This window comes from Homo sapiens, chromosome 14 (genome assembly GCF_000001405.40).
Source record: "Homo sapiens chromosome 14, GRCh38.p14 Primary Assembly".
NCBI classification, from domain to species: Eukaryota; Metazoa; Chordata; class Mammalia; order Primates; family Hominidae; genus Homo; species Homo sapiens.
This window is the reverse complement of record NC_000014.9, coordinates 88,715,821-88,739,635: the sequence shown is the minus strand read 5'-3', so window position 1 is coordinate 88,739,635 and position 23,815 is coordinate 88,715,821. Positions and strand designations below refer to the sequence as shown.

General features: G+C 36.8%; 1 protein-coding gene across 25 annotated transcripts in view; it reads left to right on the top strand.

The window, feature by feature from the left end:
* EML5 (EMAP like 5) overlaps positions 1 to 23,815 on the top strand; it is a 180,523-nt gene that overhangs the window by 53,318 nt on the left and 103,390 nt on the right. For all 25 annotated transcript variants that reach the window (XM_047431057.1, XM_017021065.3, XM_047431056.1 and 22 more), the window contains 3 exons: positions 622 to 757; positions 3,071 to 3,272; positions 12,958 to 13,095. In XM_047431057.1, coding sequence (XP_047287013.1) covers positions 622 to 757; positions 3,071 to 3,272; positions 12,958 to 13,095 — 476 coding nt within the window. The remainder of the gene's footprint in view (positions 1 to 621; positions 758 to 3,070; positions 3,273 to 12,957; positions 13,096 to 23,815) is intronic.

The window sequence follows — 23,815 nt, the reverse complement described above, 5'->3', positions numbered from 1 at the left end:
GCCTAGAAAAGTCTCTCACAGCCCAAAGTTACCTAAATGTTATTCTGAATTTTTCTAATATTCTTGTTTTATATTTAGTTATAAATAGTTATTTTTTAAGTTCATGTATAATTCATTTTTACATGTGGTATAGGAATTAAATTTATTTTCTTTTATGTTCTATCCATATAATTAAATACCACCTTGGTTATATATAGTCATGCCTTGATATTTTGGGGGGGATTGGCTCCAGAACCACAGATACCAAAATCTACACATACTCAAGTCTTGCCCTGGGAAACCTGCATATGTAAAGCCCTCCCTATCTATGGGTTTTGCATCCCACAAAGATTGTATTTTGATCTGGGTTTCATTGCTAATGTGGAACTGTGGATACACAGCTGACTGTATTTATTGAAAAAATCCATATAAGTGAGCCAGTGAAGTTCAAATCCACAAGGGGCAACTGTATTAAGTTCTTATGGACTTACTTCTAGATTTTCTTTTGTGTTTTCTGATGTATTTGTTTATTCTTATATCCTACCAAAATATTGTTAAATTGGTTTAAAAGGGTTTCTACCTTCATATAGTAGATGTTCTTAAAAAATATTTGTCGTTAAATTATTTTATTTCCTCTTCTAGGCAGGAATTTTTAGCATGAATGCTTGTGAAGAAGGCTTTGCTACTGGTGGCAGAGATGGTTGTATTCGTCTTTGGGATTTAACTTTTAAACCAATTACTGTGATTGATCTCAGGGAAACAGACCAGGGATACAAAGGTAATAACAAAACAAATGTCTTATTACTAGGCAAACTCTAAACTTCCCAAAGATTATCTCTTTCTTTCAGTGAGTATAAATGTAAGTTTTGTAAATATAAATAAGACTTATATTTGCCTCTTCACCCTGTATGCATTTGATTAAAATTCTTCTATTAAGGAGAAATTTTGCCTGTAAAGAGTTTAGGTTCATTGTTAGGAGAAAGATTCTTTCATAAGTCTAATATCTATTATAATGGGACCTATAGAGAGATGTGAGAGGTACTCACTTAGGTATCTTTGGATTTTGAAAGTATTTTACTATTAGAATGCTAAATATAACTATTTAACAAACTATTCTAAATAAACAGTTGGGGGTAAATATTGAGGGTTGGGAAACTTTTGTTCAGGATAATTTAAATGTGGATAGGTGTATTTTTCCTTCACCCAAATTTGTCAGCAATTGGGGGATTTTTTTTTTTTCTCTTGGGGATTAAAAAAAATTGATGTAATAAAACAGGACCTTTTACTATAAAAGCTACCCACAGGTTTGTGTTTAAACCATATTCCAGTCACCTACAAGTTGTGTGACCTTGGGCTGGTAATTTACCCTCACTGTAAATAAGGAGAATAAGAATAAATATATTATTTAGGATATAGGATCCTATATATGAATTGATATTTCTCAAATGTTTATAAGGATAGCACATAATAAGCATGTAAATGTTAATTGGTATTTTATTTTCATTAGTTTTGCTAAACATTATTGTGCTTTAAAGCTTACAAAATAATTTGAGACTTTTTCTTATCTGATCCTCACAAGAACATTGTGAGGTACACGGTGTCTTTATATTGGCCATGTAACACACATGAGAAAACTGAAAAACACGGTAGCTTTCCTAAGATTACAAAAGACATTCAGGAGTAGGCAGAAAAAGTAAAATTCTCTCTTTTTAATGATATTATAAGTATATTGAAGAAATATAGACAAGTAAAAAGATTATTAAAAGGAAAAGAATACAATTCTATAAAGGTAATTTACTAATTGAGTACTTATTGAACAATGCAGACTGAAGTGTTATAAGACTGGCTGAGCAAGTAGACATGGCTAGAGTTGTCTACAAGGGAGAAGGAAGAAGAGTACATGTCTTGAAGGATGGGTAGGAACTAGGTACATAAAAAGACAAATATTTCATGTAGAAAACAACATGGACAATTGAAGAAAATGTGAGTATAGATCAAGGACTTACATATTTCTTCTGTCTCACATCTAAGATATAAAAGGTACAAAATTAACTTCAATTTAGGAAGATTGGAATTATTGACACAGGATATTTTGGGTGCTACCTTGCCAGCTGGAGACCTCCATGGCGGGCGCAATGCCCCTGTCCCGGGCTGCACTGGGCTCCAGGCTCGCCAGGAGGTACCCTGCCCACTTGGCCTGGCAGGCTGCGCTTGGCTTATACTCTGGCTGGATCCCACACTTGCTGCAGGATCCATGCTCAGCCTGTGGCTGGGCCGGGTGTGCTGTGACCTGCTTCTGCCTTGGGCGTTGGCGTCTGGTTGAAGGGAATGTGGTGGCACCTAAAAAACTTGGGGACTCTAGCGGCCCTGAAGCCCCAAAGGGGGTGTTACAGCATGTTAATAGCTCTTTCAGTCCTGCCCAATAAATGGGGGCATGTGGTGCCCAGCGGCTCCCTCTCCTGTTGCTTGGTGAGTAGGAGGGGAGTGCTGCATGGTTACAGCTCTGTCTGTACTCACTGTTTGGTGAGTTCCAAGTTCTTGTCCCACATCCAAGAAGAAAGAAGTTATACTGGCAGCTGGCAGGTGAGCAAGGCAAAGAGTTTTACTGAGTGACAAAACAGCTCTCAATGGAGAGGGTACCCGAGATGGGGTGAAGTCAGGTAGTCTCCCCTGCCCCCAACCCCCCACCCAAAGGTGGGCAGTCCCCAAATATGGCTGAGTCTGGAGCCTTTATGGGCTCAGAATGGGGGATTGCATGCTGATGGGTTTGTGAGTAAAAAAAGGCTTAAAAAAAGCACCCCTCAAAGATGGGCACAACACTATAAAAAAAAATTAGGGAAGGATAAATATGTGTAAAGTAAGTGAAAGGTGGGGATCAATCAGAGGAAAGTGCACCAAATGGGAAGAGACGTTCTCAGTTGGTCCATGGATTTATCTGAGACTTGTAGCTTGGCTTTCAGGCTTTAAACTGTCTTAGGTTTGAAGGTTGGCTTTCACCGGGACTTGCCCCTATCTGCATAGGGATTTGTCTGCCTCCTGCTGCTATCATTATTACAGCATTATATATTAAATACAATTTACTTTTTACTAGGTTTGTCTGTAAGGAGTGTGTGTTGGCGAGGTGACCACATTCTAGTTGGAACACAGGACAGTGAAATTTTTGAAATTGTGGTGCAAGAAAGAAATAAACCTTTTCTAATTATGCAAGGGCATTGTGAAGGTGAACTTTGGGCACTTGCTGTCCATCCTACTAAACCTTTGGCTGTGACTGGAAGTGATGATCGTTCGGTCAGGTAAGCAAATTATAAACTAATTCCATAGGCTGGAATGTATCCTTAGATAAACATAAAGAAAACATGGCCAGGCACTGTGGCTCACGCCCGTAATCCCAGCACTTTGGGAGGCCAAGGCGGGCAGATCACAAGGTCAAGGGATTGAGACCATCCTGGCCAACATAGTGAAACCCCGTCTCTACTAAAAATACAAAAATTAGCTGGGCATGGTGGCGGGCACCTGTAATCCCAGCTACTTGGGAGGCTGAGGCAGGAGAATCGCTTGAACCCAGGAGGCGAAGGTTGCAGTGCGCCAAGATCATGGCACTGCATTCCAGCCTGGCAACAGAGTGAGACTCCATCTCAAAAAAAAAAAAAAAAGAAAGAAAAAATACTCCGATTAAAACTTTATTAGCTCATGGTATAACAAATGAACATAAGTAATACTGAAAATTAATAGAATTATTAGTAATATTTTTTCTCTTACAAATATATGATATGGAGTTTGTTCCATATCAGAATGTACAAAACTACCTCCTCCTTTTTAACAGGAATATAATATTTCACTGCATGGATATACTGTAATTTATTCAACTAATCCATTACTGATGGAAGATTAGTTTCCTCCAGTTTTGTGTATTTTAGAAATACAGGGCTTGCAGTGAATATCATTATACATTTGTCATTTTGTACATGTATGAATATCTCTGATAAATGTTTAGCAGTAGTCAAAGGATGTGTGCATTTTAAATTTTGATAGATAAGGCCTTACATAGAGGCAGCAACAATTTATACACCTATTGTGAATATATTACCAGTGCCTGTTTTCTCACACCCTTAACAGAACTAATTATAATCCCAAAAGGTGAAAAATGATACCTTGTTATATTTGAAAATATGTATTTCTCTTATATTGAGGGTTGTTATGTTTTTATATGTTTAGAGGACATTTTTTTCTTTGACCTGTTCAAGCTGTTTGCCTATTTTCTGTTAGTTCATAGGTCTTTTTCTCTACTTGATTTTAAATAAGATCTAATGATACCTGTTTATATATTAAAGAAATTAGAAACCTTGTCTGTGATAGTGGTTCTCAAAGTGTGGTTCCTAGACGAGCAACATCAGCATTACCTAAGAATGTGTAAGAAATGCAAATTCTCAGGCCTTTTACAGGACCTAATACCAGAAATTGAGCGATTTGTGATTTCAGAAGCCTTCCAAGTGACTACGATATACTCAAAAGTTTGAGAACCACTGATCAAATTTAGGAATTGAGATTTGTTTACCCCAGTTTGTCTTTTTTTTCCCTGATTTCATCTGTAAATATTTCTGTTTGTATCTTTAAAAGATATCTCAAACATCACCACAATACTGTTATCACACAGTGTTCTGTATCTAGCTAGTATAGAAATTCCTGATTGTCTCATAAAATATTTTTATGATTTCTTAAAATCAGGACCCAAATGAGCTTCATATATTGCGTTTGCTGATATGTCTTTTCAGTCTCTTTTATTCTACAGCTTTCTTCCTTCCCTTTTTGTTCTTCTTACAGTTTATTCAGCGTTTCCCACATTCTGGATTTGGCTAATTGCATACCCATAGTGTATTTTAACATAGTCTGTGTTCCCTGTATCCTGTAAATTGGTAGTTAGATTTAGAGGTTTGATGAGATACAGTTATGAATTTTCAGGATATTTCCTAGGTGGTGATGTACTCCTGCTTGATGGTATGTAATGTGTAGTCTCCGTTTTTTCTAGTAGCAGCCATTGATGATTATCGTCTAGATTAGTATTTCCCAACCTTTTTTCATTGTCACTTTCTTACATTTTTTTTCTTGATCACACCCTGTCTTTGAAATTTTAAGACCACAGACAACTATGTATCTCTTTTTGTATTGTGGCCCCTTAAGAGAATGCAAACCATTGTAATATTTAAGATATTTTACCCCTAAGAATTCATTTTTAACCCCTTTCAAGAAATATTGCCCCCGTTGAGAATGCATGGCCTAAATCTATCATTTTAATAAGAATTTCAAATGGTGGCATTCTAATACTTACATTTACCACTCATTATTCATTTGTTAGCTGTAATATTTCTATAAAGAGAATTTCTTCTCATCAATTATTTGTTTATCCTGGTTATAATAAAGGCAGAAAGGTGCTTAATTCTTTCCCTATATTTACCAATTTTAAAAGTTAGGTGGTTCCCTAGAATCCTTTCTGTAAACTTTCCACATTTCTTGCCATTTTTTCTGTAGGGTTGTTGATCTTTTTCTCCTTTACTTTTAGCAGCTCTTTATATATTATGGATGTTAACTCTTTGCCTATAATGTAAATTGCAAGTAATTTCAATAGTTTGTTACTTGCTTTTTTTTTTACTTCGTGTAGGTTGTTTTAGGTAAGCAAAAATTCTTGTTGTTGTTGTTGTTATTTTTCATATAGCTGAATTTATCAGTATTTTCTTTCATGACTTCTAGGATTGTATCATAGAGAAATCTTCCCCAAAATTATTTTTTAAAAATTTTCAATATATTCTTCCAGTACATTAGTGGTTATATTTTTATGTTTAACTCCCAATCTATGTAAAGCTTCCTTTAGTGTAAGAAGTAAGATGGGGACTCAACCTAATTGTTTCCAGATAATTACTGATGTTTTTTATGGTATGCTAATCAGTCATGCCATTTACTGTCATTGTGCCAGTCTATTTTTGGGGGATGGGAGATGGCATAGGTCATATGTCTGTAAACTTACTGTGGGGGCTACACCTTACCTCACTCTGTGCTCTGCTAGGAGCTATTCATAATCCTTTCATTGTAGAACTGCTATTACCAAGTGCCACCTAGCTGCTGCCAATAGGACAATTGTTTCTTTAAAAAGTAATTGTTCAGACTACTGTTCCTGTTATTGGTGGGCAATTTATTTGGAATAAAACAACTTCCAATGAAAACAACTAAAGATATTAGTTAAAATGTCAATCACCTTAAAAGCTTCAAAGAACTGACAAGATAGTGAGGAGCTATCCAGCCAATTTGTGAAAGAAAATGGGCATTTAGGGGCATTGTGCCAAAGCCGCTTTTTGCCCTGAAGGCATTTTTCCTTTGGGTAAACTTGACCTTTGTTTATGGCTTTGTCTTGGAGCACAAGGGACAGACAAGACCCAGCATTTGCCAAAGGAGGATAGTCCAACGTATGGTGCTAAAGCTATAAATTAAGCTCCAAAAAATATCTGCTGCAGATTTGTGTGGCAGTGGAGACCTCACTTCTTGTTTTAAGTTTTGATAGCACAGAAGTGTATAAAGCAGCTTGATATTGTTATTCAAATAGCATTAATTGTTCAAATGACTTTACCACAATGTAAGTTTCACATTACATTGTGCTGCTTTTGCCTTATAATTTTAGGTTGAATTCATTAGGTAACAGTATTGAGTCTTCAGTAGAAGCTAATTTCCAAATCCATTCAGTGTTTAATAATATCGCTAGAACCTGGGAGGCAGAAGTTGCAATAAGCTGAGATCGCGCCACTGCACTCCAGCCTGGGAAACAGCCAGACTCCGTCTCAAAAGAAAGACAGAGATCAATTCTTCTTAATTCAGAAAAATTTCAATCTTGGTTCTGAGATCAGAAAATCACAACAAAACTTAACCACTGCTAAGCCATTTAACTGCTGTGTTAGTGCAAGTCAGGATTTTCTGCTTCTGTATCTGGCAAAAATTCACAGAACTGAAAATGGCCATACTGCCCAAGGTAATTTATAGATTCAATGCCATCCCCATCAAGCTACCAATGACTTTCTTCACAGAAGTGGAAAAAACTAAAGTTCATATGGAATCAAAAAAGGGCCCACATTGCCAAGACAATCCTAAGCCAAAAGAACAACACTGAAGGCATCACGCTACCTGACTTCAAACTATACTACAAGGCTATAGTAACCAAAACAGCATGGTACTGGTACCAAAACAGAGATATAGACCAATGGAACAGAACAGAGCCCTCAGAAATAATACCACACATCTACAACCGTCTGATCTTTGACAAACCTGACAAAAACAAGAAATGGGGAAACGATTCCCTATTTAATAAATGGTGCTGGGAAAACTGGCTAGCCATATGTAGAAAGCTGAAACTGGATCCCTTCCTTACACCTTATACAAAAATTAATTCAAGATGGATTAAAGACTTACATGTTAGACCTAAAACCATAAAAACCCTAGAAGGAAACCTAGGCAATACCATTCAGGACATAGGCATGGGCAAGGACTTCACGTCTAAAACACCAAAAGCAATGGCAACAAAAGCCAAAATTGACAAATGGGATCTAATTAAACTAAAGAGCTTCTGCACAGCAAAAGAAACTACCATCAGAGTGAACAGGCAACCTACAGAATGGGAGAAAATTTTTGCACTCTACTCATCTGACAAAGGGCTGATATCCAGAATTTACAAAGAACTCAAACAAATTTACTAGAAAAAAACAACCCCATCAAGAAGTGGGAAAAGGATATGAACAGACACTTCTCAAAAGAAGACATTTATGCAGCCAACAGACACATGAAAAAATGCTCATCATCACTGGCCATCAGAGAAATGCAAATCAAAACCACAATGAGGTACCATCTCACACCAGTTAGAATGGTGATCATTAAAAAGTCAGGAAACAACAGGTGCTGGAGAGGATGTGGAGAAATAGGAACACTTTTACACTGTTGGTGGAACTGTAAACTGGTTCAACCATTGTGGAAGACGGTGTGGCAATTCCTCAAGGATCTAGAACTAGAAATACCATTCCACTCAGCCATCCCATTACTGGATATATACCCAAAGGGTTATAAATCATGCTGCTATAAAGACACATGCACACGTATGTTTATTGTGGCACTATTCACAATAGCAAAGACTTGGAACCAACCCAAATGTCCATCAGTGATAGACTGGATTAAGCAAATGTGGCACATATACACCATGGAATACTATGCAGCCATAAAAAAGGATGAGTTCATGTCCTTTGTAGGGACATGGATGAGACTGGAAACCATCATTCTCAGCAAACTATCGCAAGGACAAAAACCAAACACTGCATGTTCTCACTCATAGGTGGGAATTGAAAAATGAGAACACTTGGACACAGGAAGGGGGACATCACACACCGGGGCCTGTCATGGGGTGGGGGGAGGGGGGAGGGATAACATTAGGAGATATACCTAATGTAAATGACGAGTTAATGAGTGCAGCACACCAACATGGCGCATGTATACATATGTGACAAACCTGCACATTGTACACATGTACCCTAGAACTTCAAAGCATAATAATAATATAAAAAGACATTAAAGCAGCTGTTATAACTACAAAAAATAAATTCACAGAACTGAAAGTGGTTAGTTAAATCCACAGGAGCAAATGAAGTTCACCATTAATGCTATTGGTTAAAAAAAACGAGAGAGTCTTATTTTTTTCTTCACTAAGTACGTGCTAAAGAATAATACAATGAATAAGCACAGGCTTTAAACCCCTTACGTTTTCATAATCTGTGTAAATTTCTTTAAGCCATTTTTTCTATACATACTTTTTTCCCACCATCAGTTAGTTATAATTCATCTTAGCAGATTCCAATTTAGGTTGCATTGAATTAGTGTTTTCTCAATGATTTTGAATATATTCTTGTCTCTAGTTGTTTCATGCAGACTATTCATAAAAGCAAATTCTTGTCACTTCACACTTTGCATTGACTCCCCAAATAAACAATTGAGTAGTATCTGTAACATCTGTTAACCCATGAAGAATCAAGGAAAACCACTCAAAATTATTTGTCGTGTTTTTAAATTAATTATTGGTAGTGTTCCCAATATTCTCAACTTTTGGAGCAACTGTTCTCACAGAAAGGCTAACAGTCTTAAACAAGTCTGTTTTCTCTGGACATATTTCTTAAGCTGCTGCAATTCAAAATGATTTAAGTAATTCATTACCAATAAGTAGCTTTCCTTGCTTGGCTAACAAATCAACCACTCAGAAACTTACTTCTCTTGCAACCTCATTGTATTTTTAAATTTGTGAATAACTTCTGTGATGAGATATTCTGTTTTAAATTTTCTAATTTTTCTGAGCTTTCCTGTGAGTTGGAAAAATTGTGATGAGTGCTTAGTCTGGTAATGTATATTTGTATCCTTTTAGCACAGCTACAGTGTCATTGCATAATAAACCTAATGCTTTGCCATCTAATTCAATAACAGTATAGTCCATGCTCCATTGTGCCTTAAAAATGTAACATTCTAAGTCCAGTATTAATATATACATTGGTAAACAAAAATAATAACAAAATGTCACTATATGGTAATACAGATAGCCCTCAAAATTCTGTCAAGTTGTAACTGTGTCACTGAAAATTGTAATGTACTAAGAAGCAGTCCAAAGTGATGAGAGTGTATCATCTCTTTCCCAGTATCTCAACTCTGCCTCTGTAGTGTGATACAAAGACAGTATGTAAGCCATAGACAATACATTAAAAAAACAAAAAAAAAAAACAAAAAACAAGACCGAGTGTGGTGGCTTATGCCTGTAATCCCAGTACTTTGGGAGACTGAGGCAGGTGGATCACATGAGGCCAAGAGTTCAAGACCAGCCTGGCCAACATGGCAAAACCCTGTCTCTACTAAAAATACAAAAATAAGCCGGGGAATGGTGGCACATGCTTGTAATCCCAGCTACTCAGGAGGGTGAGGCACGAGAATCACTTGAACCTGGGAGGCGGAGGTTGCAGTGAACTAAGATTGCGCCAGCACTACAGCCTGGGTGACAAAGTGAGACTCTGTCTCAAAAAAACAAAAAACAAAAAACCAAATAAGTATATGCCTATACTTCCATAAAACTTTATTTACAGATACAGAAAGTAGAATTTCAAATAATTTTCTTGTGTTTCAAAATTTTATTAAAACATTTTTTTCAACCATTTAAAAATGTAAAAATTATTCCTAGCTTTCAGACTGTACAAAAATAGGCAGCAGGCCTGGTTTGGCCCACAGGACATGGTTTGCTGTCCCTTGTGGTAAGAGCATAGAATGTCACCAGCAAATATCATATTTAATGTTGAAGTATTGAAGATTTTCCTTTGAAATCAGAAAAAAGACAGTTATGCTATTTTCACCATTCTGTTCAGCTATAGACTAGAAGTCTTGGTCAATATAGTAAGGCCAAATGTATATGTGTATAGCATATATATGTATGTGTATATATATGTACACGTACACACACACAGATTGGAAAGGAAAAAAATAACTGCCATTCTCAGTTGGTTATATATATATATGATGTGTTTATATATATAGAAAAATCCAAAGATGAATTACTGGAATTGAAAAGAGAATTTAGCAAATTTTCTGGATATGAAAACAATATACAAAAATCATTTTTCCTATAAACTAGTAACAATTTTAAAAATACTATAAAAGCATTTAGAAAATCTTAGTTTTGCTGATCTTTTTCTAATGTCTTGGGGGTAGATGCCTATTTATTAAATTGTAGCCTTTGTTTATTTATAATGTAGTTATTCCTTGCTATTTTTGGGGGAGATTACTTCCAAGACCCCCTGCAGATACCATAATCTGTGGATGTTCAAGTTCATTATATAAAATGATATATAATTTGAACATCCTCCAAAATACAGTTATTCCTTGAACAACACAGGTTTGAACTGCATGGGTCCACTTATAGGTGGATTTTCTTCCACCTCTGCCACCCCTGAGATCGTAAGACAAGCCTCTTCTCTTCCTCCTCCTCAGCCTACACAATGTGAAGATGATGAGGATGTAGACTTTTATGATGATCCACTTCTACTTAATGAATAACAATTATATTTTCTCTTCCTTATGATTTTCTTAATTGTTTTCTCTAGCTTACTTTATTGTAGGTATACAGTATTAGTACATATAATGCACAAAGTGTATGTTAAACAACTGTTTGTGTTATTGATAAGACTTCCAGTCAACAGTAGGCTACTAGTAGTTAAGTTTTTGGAGAGTTAAACATTAGACGTGGCTTTTTGATGGCATGGGAATTGGTGCTTCTAACTGGTGCATTATTCAAGGGTCAACTGTACTTTAAATCTCTAGATTACTTATAATACCTAATACAGTGTAAGTGCCGTGTAAATAGTTGTTATACTATATTGTTTAGGGAATAATGACAAAAAAAAAAAGTCTGTACATGTTCAGTACAGATGCAACTATCATAGGCCTAACTACATTTTCCTTCCATGGTTGGTTGAATCTGTAGCTGCAGAACCCATGGATACAGAGGGCCAACTGTATATGCATTTAAAGCTCCCAAAAGTTCCTCCTAAGTACTGTTTCAGCTATATTTCACAAGTTTTGATTTTAAGCAGTTTTATAACTTACTTCAAAATAGTAACAAATCATTAAGAGTTCATCTTTGTCTTTGTCTTTTAGATTATATGGAAGTATAATTCTTAATTTTCAAACAATGGGTATCTTCTAGTTATCTTTTTTGTTGTTGATTTCTAGCATTGTGGTCTGGAACAGATTCTGAATTTGGATAGTTTTAAACACTAGACTGTATGTACATAAGGATATATACATATGTGTGTCTACACACACACTCTCTCCCTTTGGTCAGGGTAGAAATAACCTATCTAAAAGTGAAAGAATCAATGTACTGCATTGTTTAAAAATGCATTGTATTGGCTGGGTGCGGTGGCTCACACCTGTAATCCCAGCACTTTGGGAGGCCAAGGTGGGTGGATCACCAGAGGTTGGGAGTTTGAGACCAGCCTGACCAACATGGAGAAACCCCATCTCTACTAAAAATACAAAATACAGGCGTGGTGGTGCATGCCTGTAATCCCAACTACTTGGGAGGCTGAGGCAGGAGAATTGCTTGAACCCGGGAGGCGGAGGTTGCAGTGAGCCGAGATCACACCATTGCACTCCGGCCTGGACAACAGGAACGAAACTCCGTCTCAAAAAAAAAAAAAAAAATGCAGTGTATCACACTACAGATGCAGAGTTGAGAAGTTGGGAAAGAGATGGTATACTCACATCCCTTTGCACTGCTCCTCAGCTCATTACAAATTTCAGTGACACATTTACAACTTGACAGAATTTTGACCGCTATGTGCATTACCATATGGTGACATTATTATTTATCACCAGTGCATACTCATCATGTTGACATAAGAGGAAAAAGATAAAATTGGACTTTGAGTGTTACATTTTTAAGGCAAAGTGGAGCATGGACTTTACTGTTATTCAATTAGATGGCAAAACATTGTGTTTATTATGCAGTGACACTATAACTGTGCTAAAAGGATACCAAAACAACAACAACAACAACAACAACAAAACATAGCCAGGTTGGGTGGCACATTCCTGTAGTCCCAGCTTCTCATGAGGCTGAGGCTAGAGGATTGCTTGAGCCCACAGGGTCAAGGTTATAGTAAGCTATGATCACGCCACTGCACTCCAACCTGAGTGACAGAGTGACGTGATGTCGCCAAAAAAATTCAAAGCAAAAGATTCTATCAACTTCTGTCATTTAAGCATGAACAATTCCCATTTTCATAGATAAGAATTTCTTGCCACACAACAGATAGTTAAGATATCTAGATTTATCTTAATTAAGATGAGATTATTTTAACCAAAATATTTTTACTAAAGTATGCATTAGCTAACCTTTTTTATTTTTTAAATTAAATTTTACAGGATATGGAGCCTAGTAGATCATGCATTAATAGCAAGGTGTAATATGGAAGAACCAATTCGTTGTGCAGCTGTCAATGCAGATGGAATCCATCTTGCCCTTGGAATGAAGGATGGCTCATTCACTGTACTTAGAGTAAGGTATGGTATTAGGGTAGAAACACATAATAATTTTATCTTCAGTGATACAGAATATAAGTAATTTTCTCTTCAGCGATACAGAATATATAATACTTGTTGTTTTTACCTATTTATCCTTTTCTCTTCCCCTTCTTATTAATATATTTCAGATGTTAATTTCATCAAGTATAAAAATATATTTATAAAAATAGCTTTGTCCGAAAAATAAATTCAGAAGCCTTGGTTTGGGGGGTTAAGAATGCTTAATAGATTAATGGCTAAAATTTTGAGCTATAAAGTTTGGGTCCCAACTACCTTTTCCTGTTAGTATAGATTTTCAGTAATGATCCCTCTCCGTTTAACAAGCTGAGGCTGTTAAAATGGGGTTGTTGTTGTTGTTGTTGTTATTTACAGCCTTATGCTTTAAAAAATGCTTCCATCTCTTCTTTTGTTTGAGTAATTAGAAAAATTTAAAGAATTTGGTAAAGCAGTTAACATTTTGTGTTGAATTATAGATAGATAAATTCAATTGAATTCTATGCAGTCAGTAAGAAATTTGCTGTAGATCCACAGGATAAGTACTTACGAAGTCTTTCTTCTCTACCTCAGTGAACGGTAAGATCCTTCGCTCAGTTGCTCAATTCAGAAACTATTAACACAGTTCTCTCTTTTGCCTCCCCTGTGTAGTTAATTAAAGAGTTCTGGAGAGTCTACTTCTGAGATAGCTCTCATATTAATCTCCTTCCTTCTATTCTCACCATTGTACTCTTGTGTAGGCTTCTGTCATCTACTAACTGGATTGGTGGAATAGCCTCTTAGCTGATCTTCTTACCTCCTGTTTGGTTTCCCTCAAGACCTTTCTTCACTCCACAGTGATGGTGATTCCTTTTAAAACACATTGTGTGCTTTCTTCTTATTTCTAAAGTATGATAAAGGCTTTGTACTGTCCTTAGGATGCAGCTCATAATCCTTCACGTGGTATGTAGTGCCCATCTTTCCAGCCTATTTCTCAGTACCCCAGTTTCTTTCATCTATAGGAAACTCCTTTCCTGTATCACCATGCCATACAGTATATGTTCAGAACTTATTCACTAATTCTAACTGAAACTTCGTACTCTTTAACTAACATCTCCCCATTATGAACAGATACATTATGTTTTCTTGTACTTCTGAGCCTCTACACGTGCTGACTCCCCTTTCCGAGACCGGTTTTTAAGTTAACATTTTTTATTGTGGTAAAATATATAATATATAAACTTCACATTTCAACCATTTTTAAATGTAAAATTCAGTGCCATTAAGTACATTCACATTGTTGTGCAACCATCACCACCCTCTAGCTTCAGAACTTTTTCATCTTCCCAAATGGAAACTCTGTACCCTGTAAAAAATAATCCCATTCTTCCATCTCCTAAGCCCATGATAACCATCATTCTACTTTCTGGGTCTCTATGAAAGACATAATTTGACTACTCTAGGTACCTCATATTTTAAAAAAATGAATATAACATTTGAATATAAATTAAAGCTTTTTCCACAGAGCTCTATAAATATGTCATATTACTTTATTTTGTCATGCTGAAACAGCTTCTTGAAGAGAGATGAAAGACTACGAAACCTCCCTGTTGGGCTATCCATACTGTTATAATTTGGGCACTGATTTGATCTATTGATTCTGGAATCTCTGTAACTATCATCATCTAAGATTAAACATCTGTTCTTTTTCTCATTGGTTGTTTAATTTCTTTGGAGGCTGCTCTTCAGTTTTGCAGGTTAGAAATAATAAATAGAAACACCTGGTCATTACTTATGAATAATAATTAATATTCATGATCAGCTTCATTTTTTCTTTTCTGTAAGAACTGAAAGTATTGGAAGTACTGGAATTGGAGTGCTCACTTATAGAGGTTTTACAAGAATTTAAGATGCATGTAAAACACCTAAGAATTCCTATCATATCTGATACACATTCAAAAGTAGTGATTTTTTTTTAGTTATACATTTACTTGCCCTTTCAGTTACTGAATGCAGTAGACTGGATGAAAAAGTTTTTATTCCTAATAAGACTGTATTTTAGCACCTGAATCCAACATTGCTAATAGTATTGAAAGGGTTATTCTGATTATTAAATGCCTTTAAAAGTGAACCACAAAATTCTAACTCACAAAATGGTCTTCTTAATCCATCTGAATTTATCTGGTTACTATTTCTTCTTGATTTGCTTTGTATTCTCCATATGGTAAAGCAGGATTCATTACTGAACATAACTTTTTTTTTTTTTTTTTTTTGATATGGAGTCTTGCTCTGTCACAAGGCTGGAGTACAGTGGCGCAATCTCGGCTCACTGCAGCCTCCGCCTCCCAGGTTCAAGCGATTCTCCTGCCTCAGCCTCCTGAGTAGCTGGGACTATAGGTGCGTGCCACCACGCCAAGCTATTTTTTTTTTTTGTATTTTTAGTAGAGATGGGGTTTCACCATGTTGTCCAGGATGGTCTTGATCTCCTGACCCTGTGATCTGCCCGCCTCGGCCTCCCAGAGTGCTGGGATTACAGGCGTGAGCTACTGTGCCCGGCTCATAACATATTAAAGTACCTGCACCAGGAGTGGGGGTTATGTTAGAGTTGGAAGAAAATAGAATGAATTAGAATCTCACATCATGATTCTTAAATTAGTATATAAGGTGGTATGCCAGGGTAAAGCCACAATATCTTCTTAAAACTTATCTTTTCTTCATAATAAAAACTGTTAACAATTTTAAAATTATTTTGTAACCAGTCTGCCTTTTTAAAAATTTATTTTTGTGTCCCCCCAGCTTCATTAAGGCATGATTGACAAATAAAAACTGTATATATTTACGACGTACAACATGAGATTTTGGTTATACATATACTTTGTGAAATGATTACATCAAGCTAGTTAACATATCCATCACCTCACATACTTAACCACTTTAGGGGGTGAGAACATTTAAGATGTGTCTTAGCAATTTTCAAGTATATTCTACATTATTATTAACTCTAATCACTGTGCCATACAGTATATCTTCAGAACTTACTAACTCGTTCTAACTGAAACTTGGTACTCTTTAACCAACATCTCCCCATTTCCCACCTGTACTCCTAATCCCTGTTAACCACCAATCTACTCTCTGCTATGTTTGACTTTTTTAGATTCCACATATAAGCAAGATCATGCAGTATCTGTCTTTCTCTGCCTGGTTTATTTCACTAAGCATAATGTGCACCAGGTTCATCCGTGTGGTAGCAAATGACAGGATTTTCTTCCTTTTCTAAAATTATTTTTTAAAATTTTTGTAGAGCCTGGGCCTCACTGTGTTGCCCAGGCTTGTCTCAAACTCCTGGCCTCAAGCAATCCTCCTGCCTCAGCTGCTGAAAGTGCTGGGATTACAGGCATGAGCCCCTGTGCCCAGCTAATTTTCTTCCTTTTTAAGAATGAATAGTATATCTCTTTTTTATTCATGTGTACATTGATGGACACTTAGGTTGGCTTGAGGGAAGGGGTGACATGAGTAATGTAAAACTGTCCTTCCCTCCTTCTTCAAATATGTCTTTCCTTATTGCTGTGTTACATACAGATTCTATAATCTCTCACCATGTTTTCTTAGCTCTTATGAACATTTTTTTTATTTTAATTTTTATTTTAAGTTACAAAGTACATGTGCAGAATGTGCAGGTTTGTTATGTAGGTAAACATGTGCCACGGTGGTTTGCTGCACCTATCAACCCATCACCTAGGTATTAACCCATTTATGCCAGGGGTTGCAAATTTTTTTTTATGAAAAATCAGACCTTGGCAATGACCTTGAGCAGTAAGATATAAATAATTCCCACAAGCTTAGCGTTCCAGTAATGGAGCACTAGGCATAAATGGTTTGAGCTCAGTATGCATTAGCTATTTTTCCTAATGCTCCCCCTCCCCTCACCCCACCCCCAAAGGCCTCAGTGTGTGTTTTTCCTCTCCCTGTGTCCATAGTTCTCATTGTTCAGCTCCCACTTATAAACGAGAATATGTGGTGTTTGCTTTTCTGTTCCTGCATTAGTTTGCTGAGGATAATGGCTTCTTGCTCCATCCATGTCCCTGCAAAGGACATGATCTCCTTCCTTTTTATGGCTGCATAGTATTCCAAGGTATACATGTACCACATTTTCTTTATCCAGTCTATCATTGATGGGCATTTGGGTGGATTCCATGTCTTTGTTATTGTGAATAGTGCTGCAGTGAACATACACATGCATGCATCTTTGTAATAGAATGATTTATATTTCTTTGTGTATATACCCAGTAATGGGATTGCTGGGACAAATGGTATTTCTGGTTCTAGATCTTTGAGGAATCGCCACACCATCTTCCACAATGGTTGAACTAATTCACATTCCCACCAACAGTGTAAAAGCATTCCTATTTCTCTTCAACCTCACCAGCATCTGTTGTTTATTGACTTTTTAATAATTGTCATTCTGACTGACGTGAGATGGTACCTCAATGTGGTTTTGATTTGCATTTTTCTAATAATCAGTGATGTTGAGCTTTTTTTCATATGTTTGTTGGCCACATAAATGTTGTCTTTCAAAAAGTGTCCGCTCATGTCCTTTGCCCACTTTTTAATGGGGTTGTTTTTTTCTTGTAAATTTGTTTAAGTTCCTTGTTGACTCTGGATATCAGACCTTTGTCAGATGGATAGATTGCAAATATTTTTTCCCACTCTGTAGGTTGCCTCTTTGCCCTGATGATAGTTTCTTTTATTGTGCCGAAGCTCTTTAGTTTAATTAGATCACATTTGTCAATTTTTGTTTTGTTGCAGCTGCTTTTAGCGATTTCTTCATGAAATCTTTGCGCATGCCCATGACCTGAATGGCATTGCCTAGATTTTCTTCTAGGGTTTTTTGTAACTTTGTGTTTTACATTTAAGTCTTTAATCCCTCTTGAGTTAATTTTTGTATAAGGTGTAAGGAAGGGGTCCAGTTTCAGTTTTCCGCATATAGCTGGCCAGTTTTCCCAGCACCATTTATTGAATAGGAGATCCTTTCCCCCTTGCTTGTTTTTGTCAGGTTTGTTGAAGATCAGATGGTTGTAGATGTGTGGTCTTATTTCTGAATTCTCTATTCTGTTCCATTGGTCTACCCATCTGTTTTTATACCAGCATCATGCTGTTTTGGTTACTGTAGCCTTGTAATATAGTTTGAGGTTCAGTAGCGTGATGCTTCCTGCCTTGTTCTTTTTGCTTAGGATTGACTTGGCTGTACGGGCTCTATTTTGGTTCCATATGATGTCTTAAGTAGTTTTTTTCTAATTCTTTGAAGAATATCAGTGGTAGTTTAATGGGAATAGCATTGAATCTATAAATTACTTTGGGCAGGATGGCAATTTTCATGATACTCATTCTTCCTATCCAGGAGCATGGAATATTTTCATTTGTGTTCTCTTTTATTTCCTTGTGCAGTGGTTTGTAGTTCTCCTTAAAGAGGTCTTTCACTTCTCTTATTAGCTGTATTCCTAGGTATTTTATTTGTAGCAATTGTGAATGGGAGTTCATTCATAATTTAGCTCTCTGCTTGCCTGTTGTTGGTGTATAGGAATTCTTGTGACTTTTACACATTGATTTTATATCCCGAGACTTTGCTGGAGTTGCTTATCAGCTTAAGAAGCTTTTGGGCTGAGACGATGGAGTTTTCTAGATATAGGATCATGTCATCTGCAAATAAAGACAATCTGAATTCCTCTCTTCCTATTTGAATATGCTTTATTTCTTTTTCTTGTCTCATTTCCCTGGCCAGAACTTCAATACTGTGTTAAATAGGAGTGGTGAAGAGAGGACATCCTTGTCTTGTGCCAGTTTTCAAGGGCAATGTTTCCAGCTTTTGCACATTCAGTATGATATTGGCTGTGGGTTTGTCATAAACAGCTTATTATTTTGGGGGATGTTCCTTCAATATCTAGTTTATTGAGAGGTTTCAACATGAAAGGATGCTGAATTTTATCAAAGGCGTTTTCTGCACCTATTAAGATAATCATATGGTCTTTGTTTTTAGATCTTATGTGATGAATTACGTTTATTGATTTGCATTGGTTGAACCAGCCTTGCATCTCGGGGATGAAGCCTCCTTGATTGTGGTGGATAAGCTTTTTGATGGGCTGCTGGATTCAGTTTGCCAGTATTTTACTGAGGATTTTTGCATTGATATTCATCAGGGATACTGGCCTGAAGTTTTTTGTTGGTTCTCTGCCAGGTTTTGGTATCAAGATGTTGCTGGCCTCATAAAATGAGTTAGGGAGGAGTCCCTCCTTATCAATTGTTGGGCTATTTCAGAAGAAAGGGTATCTGCTCCTCTTTGTATTTCTGGTAGAATTCAGCTATAAATTCATCTGGTCATGAGCCTTTTTTGGTTGGTAGGCTATTTATTACTGCCTCAATTTTAGAACTTGTTATTGGTCTATTTAGGGATTCAGCTTCTTCCTGGTTCAGTCTTTGGAGGGTGTATGTGTCTAGGAATTTATCCATTTCTTTTAGATTTCCTGGTTTATATGCATAGAAGTGTTTATGGTATTCTCTGATGGTTGTTTGTATTTCTGTGGGGTCAATGGTGATATCCCCTTTATCATTTGTTGTTATGTCTATTTGATTCTTCCCTCTTTTCTCCTTCATTAGTCTAGCTAGCAGTCTATTTATTTTATTAATTTTTTCAAAAAACCAGATCCTAGATTAATTAATTTTTTGGAGGGATTTTCATGTGTCTATCTCCTTTGTGAAGGTATTTTTATGCATGGATGATTCAAATTGGTATTTCTGCAAGGGGAGTAGCATTGGAAAGTCCTTTTCCACCATTTTGCTGTCCTCACTTCCCACCATTTTCTGTTTAAAAAAAAAAAAGCTCATATCATAGAGTCATATGAAAACTTGCAAATATTTTAAAGTAGAAAATTATATATACACATATGGAACTTTGACTTACAGTAAGCTACACTGTGTTATCAACAGCAAACTCCTCAGAGGCACCCATTCCTTCTCATGAATAGTGAGAGAGACTTCATAATAGTGGAAGAGCTTGATAAGCAAGGCTAATGAATTATGCTGAAGATGGAGTAAGGTTTCCCACAGGGTATGGGATAGACTATTAATAGTTGTAAATACATAAAATTGTCATTTTATTTATTGATTGAGACAAGGTCTCGCTCTGTTGCCCAGGCTGGAGTACAGTAGCACAATCACAGCTCACTGCAGCCTCGAACTCCTGGGCTCAAGCGATCCTCCCATCTCAGTCTTCCAAGTAGCTGTGACTACTTGGAAGTAGCCACCATGCCTAGCTAATGTTTTAATTTTTTGTAGAGATGTGGTCTTGTCATTTTGCCCAGTTGATCTCAAACTCCTGAGATCAAGCAGTCCTCCTGCCTTGGCCTCTGAAAGTGCTGGGATTACAGGCACGAGCCACCATGCCTAGTCAAATTGTCATTTTAGATTCTACCAATGGCTAGCCACTTGTCTCTCTCTGACAGTGTTACTACCACATTTTATCAACTTTAAAAGGGATCGTGACAGTTTTTGCTGAAGAAATCACACATTCATTTAAAATTTTTCTTCAAATTATTTATATTTTTTCTGCTCTGCGTCTTGGGAGTAGTAAGTTCCAAAAGTTGTCTCCTGGCTTTAAAAAAGTAACTCTTTGTGTACGTCCATTATTTTTTCACATGAAATGGTTGGTTGCACCCCCACCAAAGAGCCCTATTAGAACATGCTCAATGTGTCCCATCTTAAGTTTCATGCCTCAAACCAAAGTCTCTCTCTCTTACATCACATTTCTACTTTCCTCCCTTTCACAGGAGTATTTCTCATAAAACTGTCTAACTTTATTCTCTCTTTTCTTCTAATTATCAACCTCTATCCTCATTCCTATATGCCTTCTGCTTTCAGCTTTATGTTGAAAAACACTGACTAATTGTACCCTATGTCCCTAAAACTAGGAGACATTTTTCACTTCTCATTTAGCTTGAATTTCCAGCAGTATTTGATTCTCTTAACCACTTGCTGCTTCTCAAAATGCTTTCTCCCTTGGCTTTTAGGTGTTTCTTCTCTTTCTGTTTTCAGCTTACCTCTCTAGCCCCATTTTCTTCATAGGCTAATTATCTTTTGCCCAGCAAGTAAATATTAGAGGTCCTCAAAACTCAGGCCTAGACTTTCTCTTCTTTTTACTCTATGTTTTCTCCCTAGATAGTCTCATTCTGCCTCTGCTGTCAGTTACCACGCATAGCCTAATGACCCTGGATGCACAGCTCCAGCTGTTATCTCAAAACTCGAGCTATGCATATCCAGTTACTTATTTAACATCACTTGGATGTCTCAAAGGCACCTGCAACTCAGCATTTCCAAAACTGAACTCATGATATCCCTCCCAAACTGATCATCTGTCTATGGGCCGTATCCTAGTTAATGGCACCATTATCCATGTTCCTAAGCAAAAACCTAGGTGTTTTCCTTGATACCTCTTTCTCCTGAACCCACCATCTGTAATCCATCAGCACCACATCCTGTTGATTTTGCTTTCCTAATTAATTTTCTAGGAACATTTTAATTAAGGTTTGTGAATAAGATTAGAATTATATCTTTAACCTATAGTACGTATTACGTCCTATAATAGTATGGAGTATAATACTACATTGTATTTTAAAGAAGCTCACTTTTTTCTGAAGTCTGAGAAACCATCATCTGCAGTAACCTTTTAATTGGTTTTGATCCTATTACTATGCTCCTTTAATTTGTTTTGTTGTTGTTGTTGTTGTTGTTGTTGTTGTTTTGAGACGGAGTCTCGCCCTGTCACCCAGGCTGGAGTGCAGTGGCAGGATCTCAGCTCACTGCAACCTCTGCCTCCCGAGTTCAAGTGATTTTCCTGCCTCAGCCTCCTGAGTAGCTGGGATTACAGGCGGATGCCACCACACCTGGCTAATTTTTTGTATTTTTAGTAGAGATGGGGTTTCACCGTGTTAGCCAGGATGGTCTCTCTCTGATCTTGTGATCTGCCCGCCTCAGCCTCCCAAACTGCTGGGATTACAGGCGTGAGCCACCACACCCAGCCTTATTTGTTTTTTACGTTGGAACCAAATCAGTGATTTGACTGGTACATCTTATCCTAGCTTAACCTCACAAATTAAGGCCAAAAATCTTAATAAGACATATGAGGCCCCCACTTCATGATTCTCCCTCAGCAGACTGAGTTCACACCAAAGTCCCCTTGTTTGTGTCCATTCAACTACAGTGGCCGTCACAAGCTGAACTTGAATACTTTCTCTTGCCATCAGCTCTTTCACATACTGTTGTCTCTGCTGAAACAGGTCCTTTACCTCCATTTCCTATCTTCTGCTGAGCTAAATCTCATTCATTCCTCAGAACAAAATGGAGACATCATAGCTATCTACTCCACTTCCTTTGATATGTCTCCCCAGAATCACTCAGCTAGAAATGATTCTTCGGTTGTATGCTCTGATCAACTCTGTACCTTTACTTTGTGATGTATTATGAACTGTTCATGTATGAGTATTCCCAGGCTTTTGCCTCCTTCTGCTTCTTAAAAGAAACCATAGTGATCATATATTAGTCTCCCAGAGACTTAATTCAGAATGTTTTAAAAAATTAACAAATTTTCATCTAATAGTTGTCGTCTTTGCTTTAAATTTGTCAGAGAAACTCTTCATGTGAGAGAGTGGTCATATAATTCACAATATTGACGGAGCGATATTATACTAAAATACCAATCAGTCAACCACAATCTCTCTCTGTTACCTTCTACCGTGTGTGTGTGTGTGTGTGTGTGTGTGTGTGTTGGTGAGCAGTGGACATGTTAACAGAAAACCTTGGACATAAGACGTTCTTCTCTTCTTAATTGGAAGCAATTAAGTCTCTAAACAAAAATGCTATAAAAAATACCAAAATACTTCTGAAGAATTTTCCAGAAGCATTTTAATGCAGGTCATGAAGATTATAATTATAAAATTTTAAATAAAGGAGGCATAAAAAGTAAAAGCTGCCAAATAGTGCCTTAGACTTTTCTTAAAAATCTTACTCCATATAGGGAGGGAGGAATGGATGGATGGATGGATATGGAGCAAAGGGCAATACGGTATATGGATTTAATGTTAACTTGAAGGAGTCCCTGGGAAATGCAGAGGCAGCTGTATGAGTCTATGCATAGGAAGAGGACCTTGCAAGTTGCAGAGGCAGAAGTGATGTTGACCAGGGAAACTTTAAAAAAAAGTACAGAAGCTTCAAATAATACAATCTTGGATTTATCTTGGGGCTCATTTTTCTATTTCTATTTCTAGTACTATGTTGGTTAGCATAATCAGTAAGTACTGTAATTAACAGGCCCACAGCTGTATAGTGACTCAAATACAACTGAAGATTAATTCTTGCACATGTGTAACAGAAGTCAATAAAAGCAAAATTTTTCTGGAGAAAAGTCTCTGACACTGATTGAAAATAAGAATTTTTACTTCCCCCTACCTTTTCTCCCTCCCTCTGTTTCTCCTTCTCCTGCCCACAAACTCCACAACTTTGGAAACTCCGTGGTGTTTTACTACATATTTATCCATCTTTTGGTTGTTACTAATATCTGTATTATTTTGGATACTCAATAAGAAGTCATCATTGAAAAAAAGTTCCACTTCACTGGTCAACATGGTCCCTAAGGGAGGAATGTGTGTTCTATTTAAAAACGTCAAAAAGATTAGCCGGG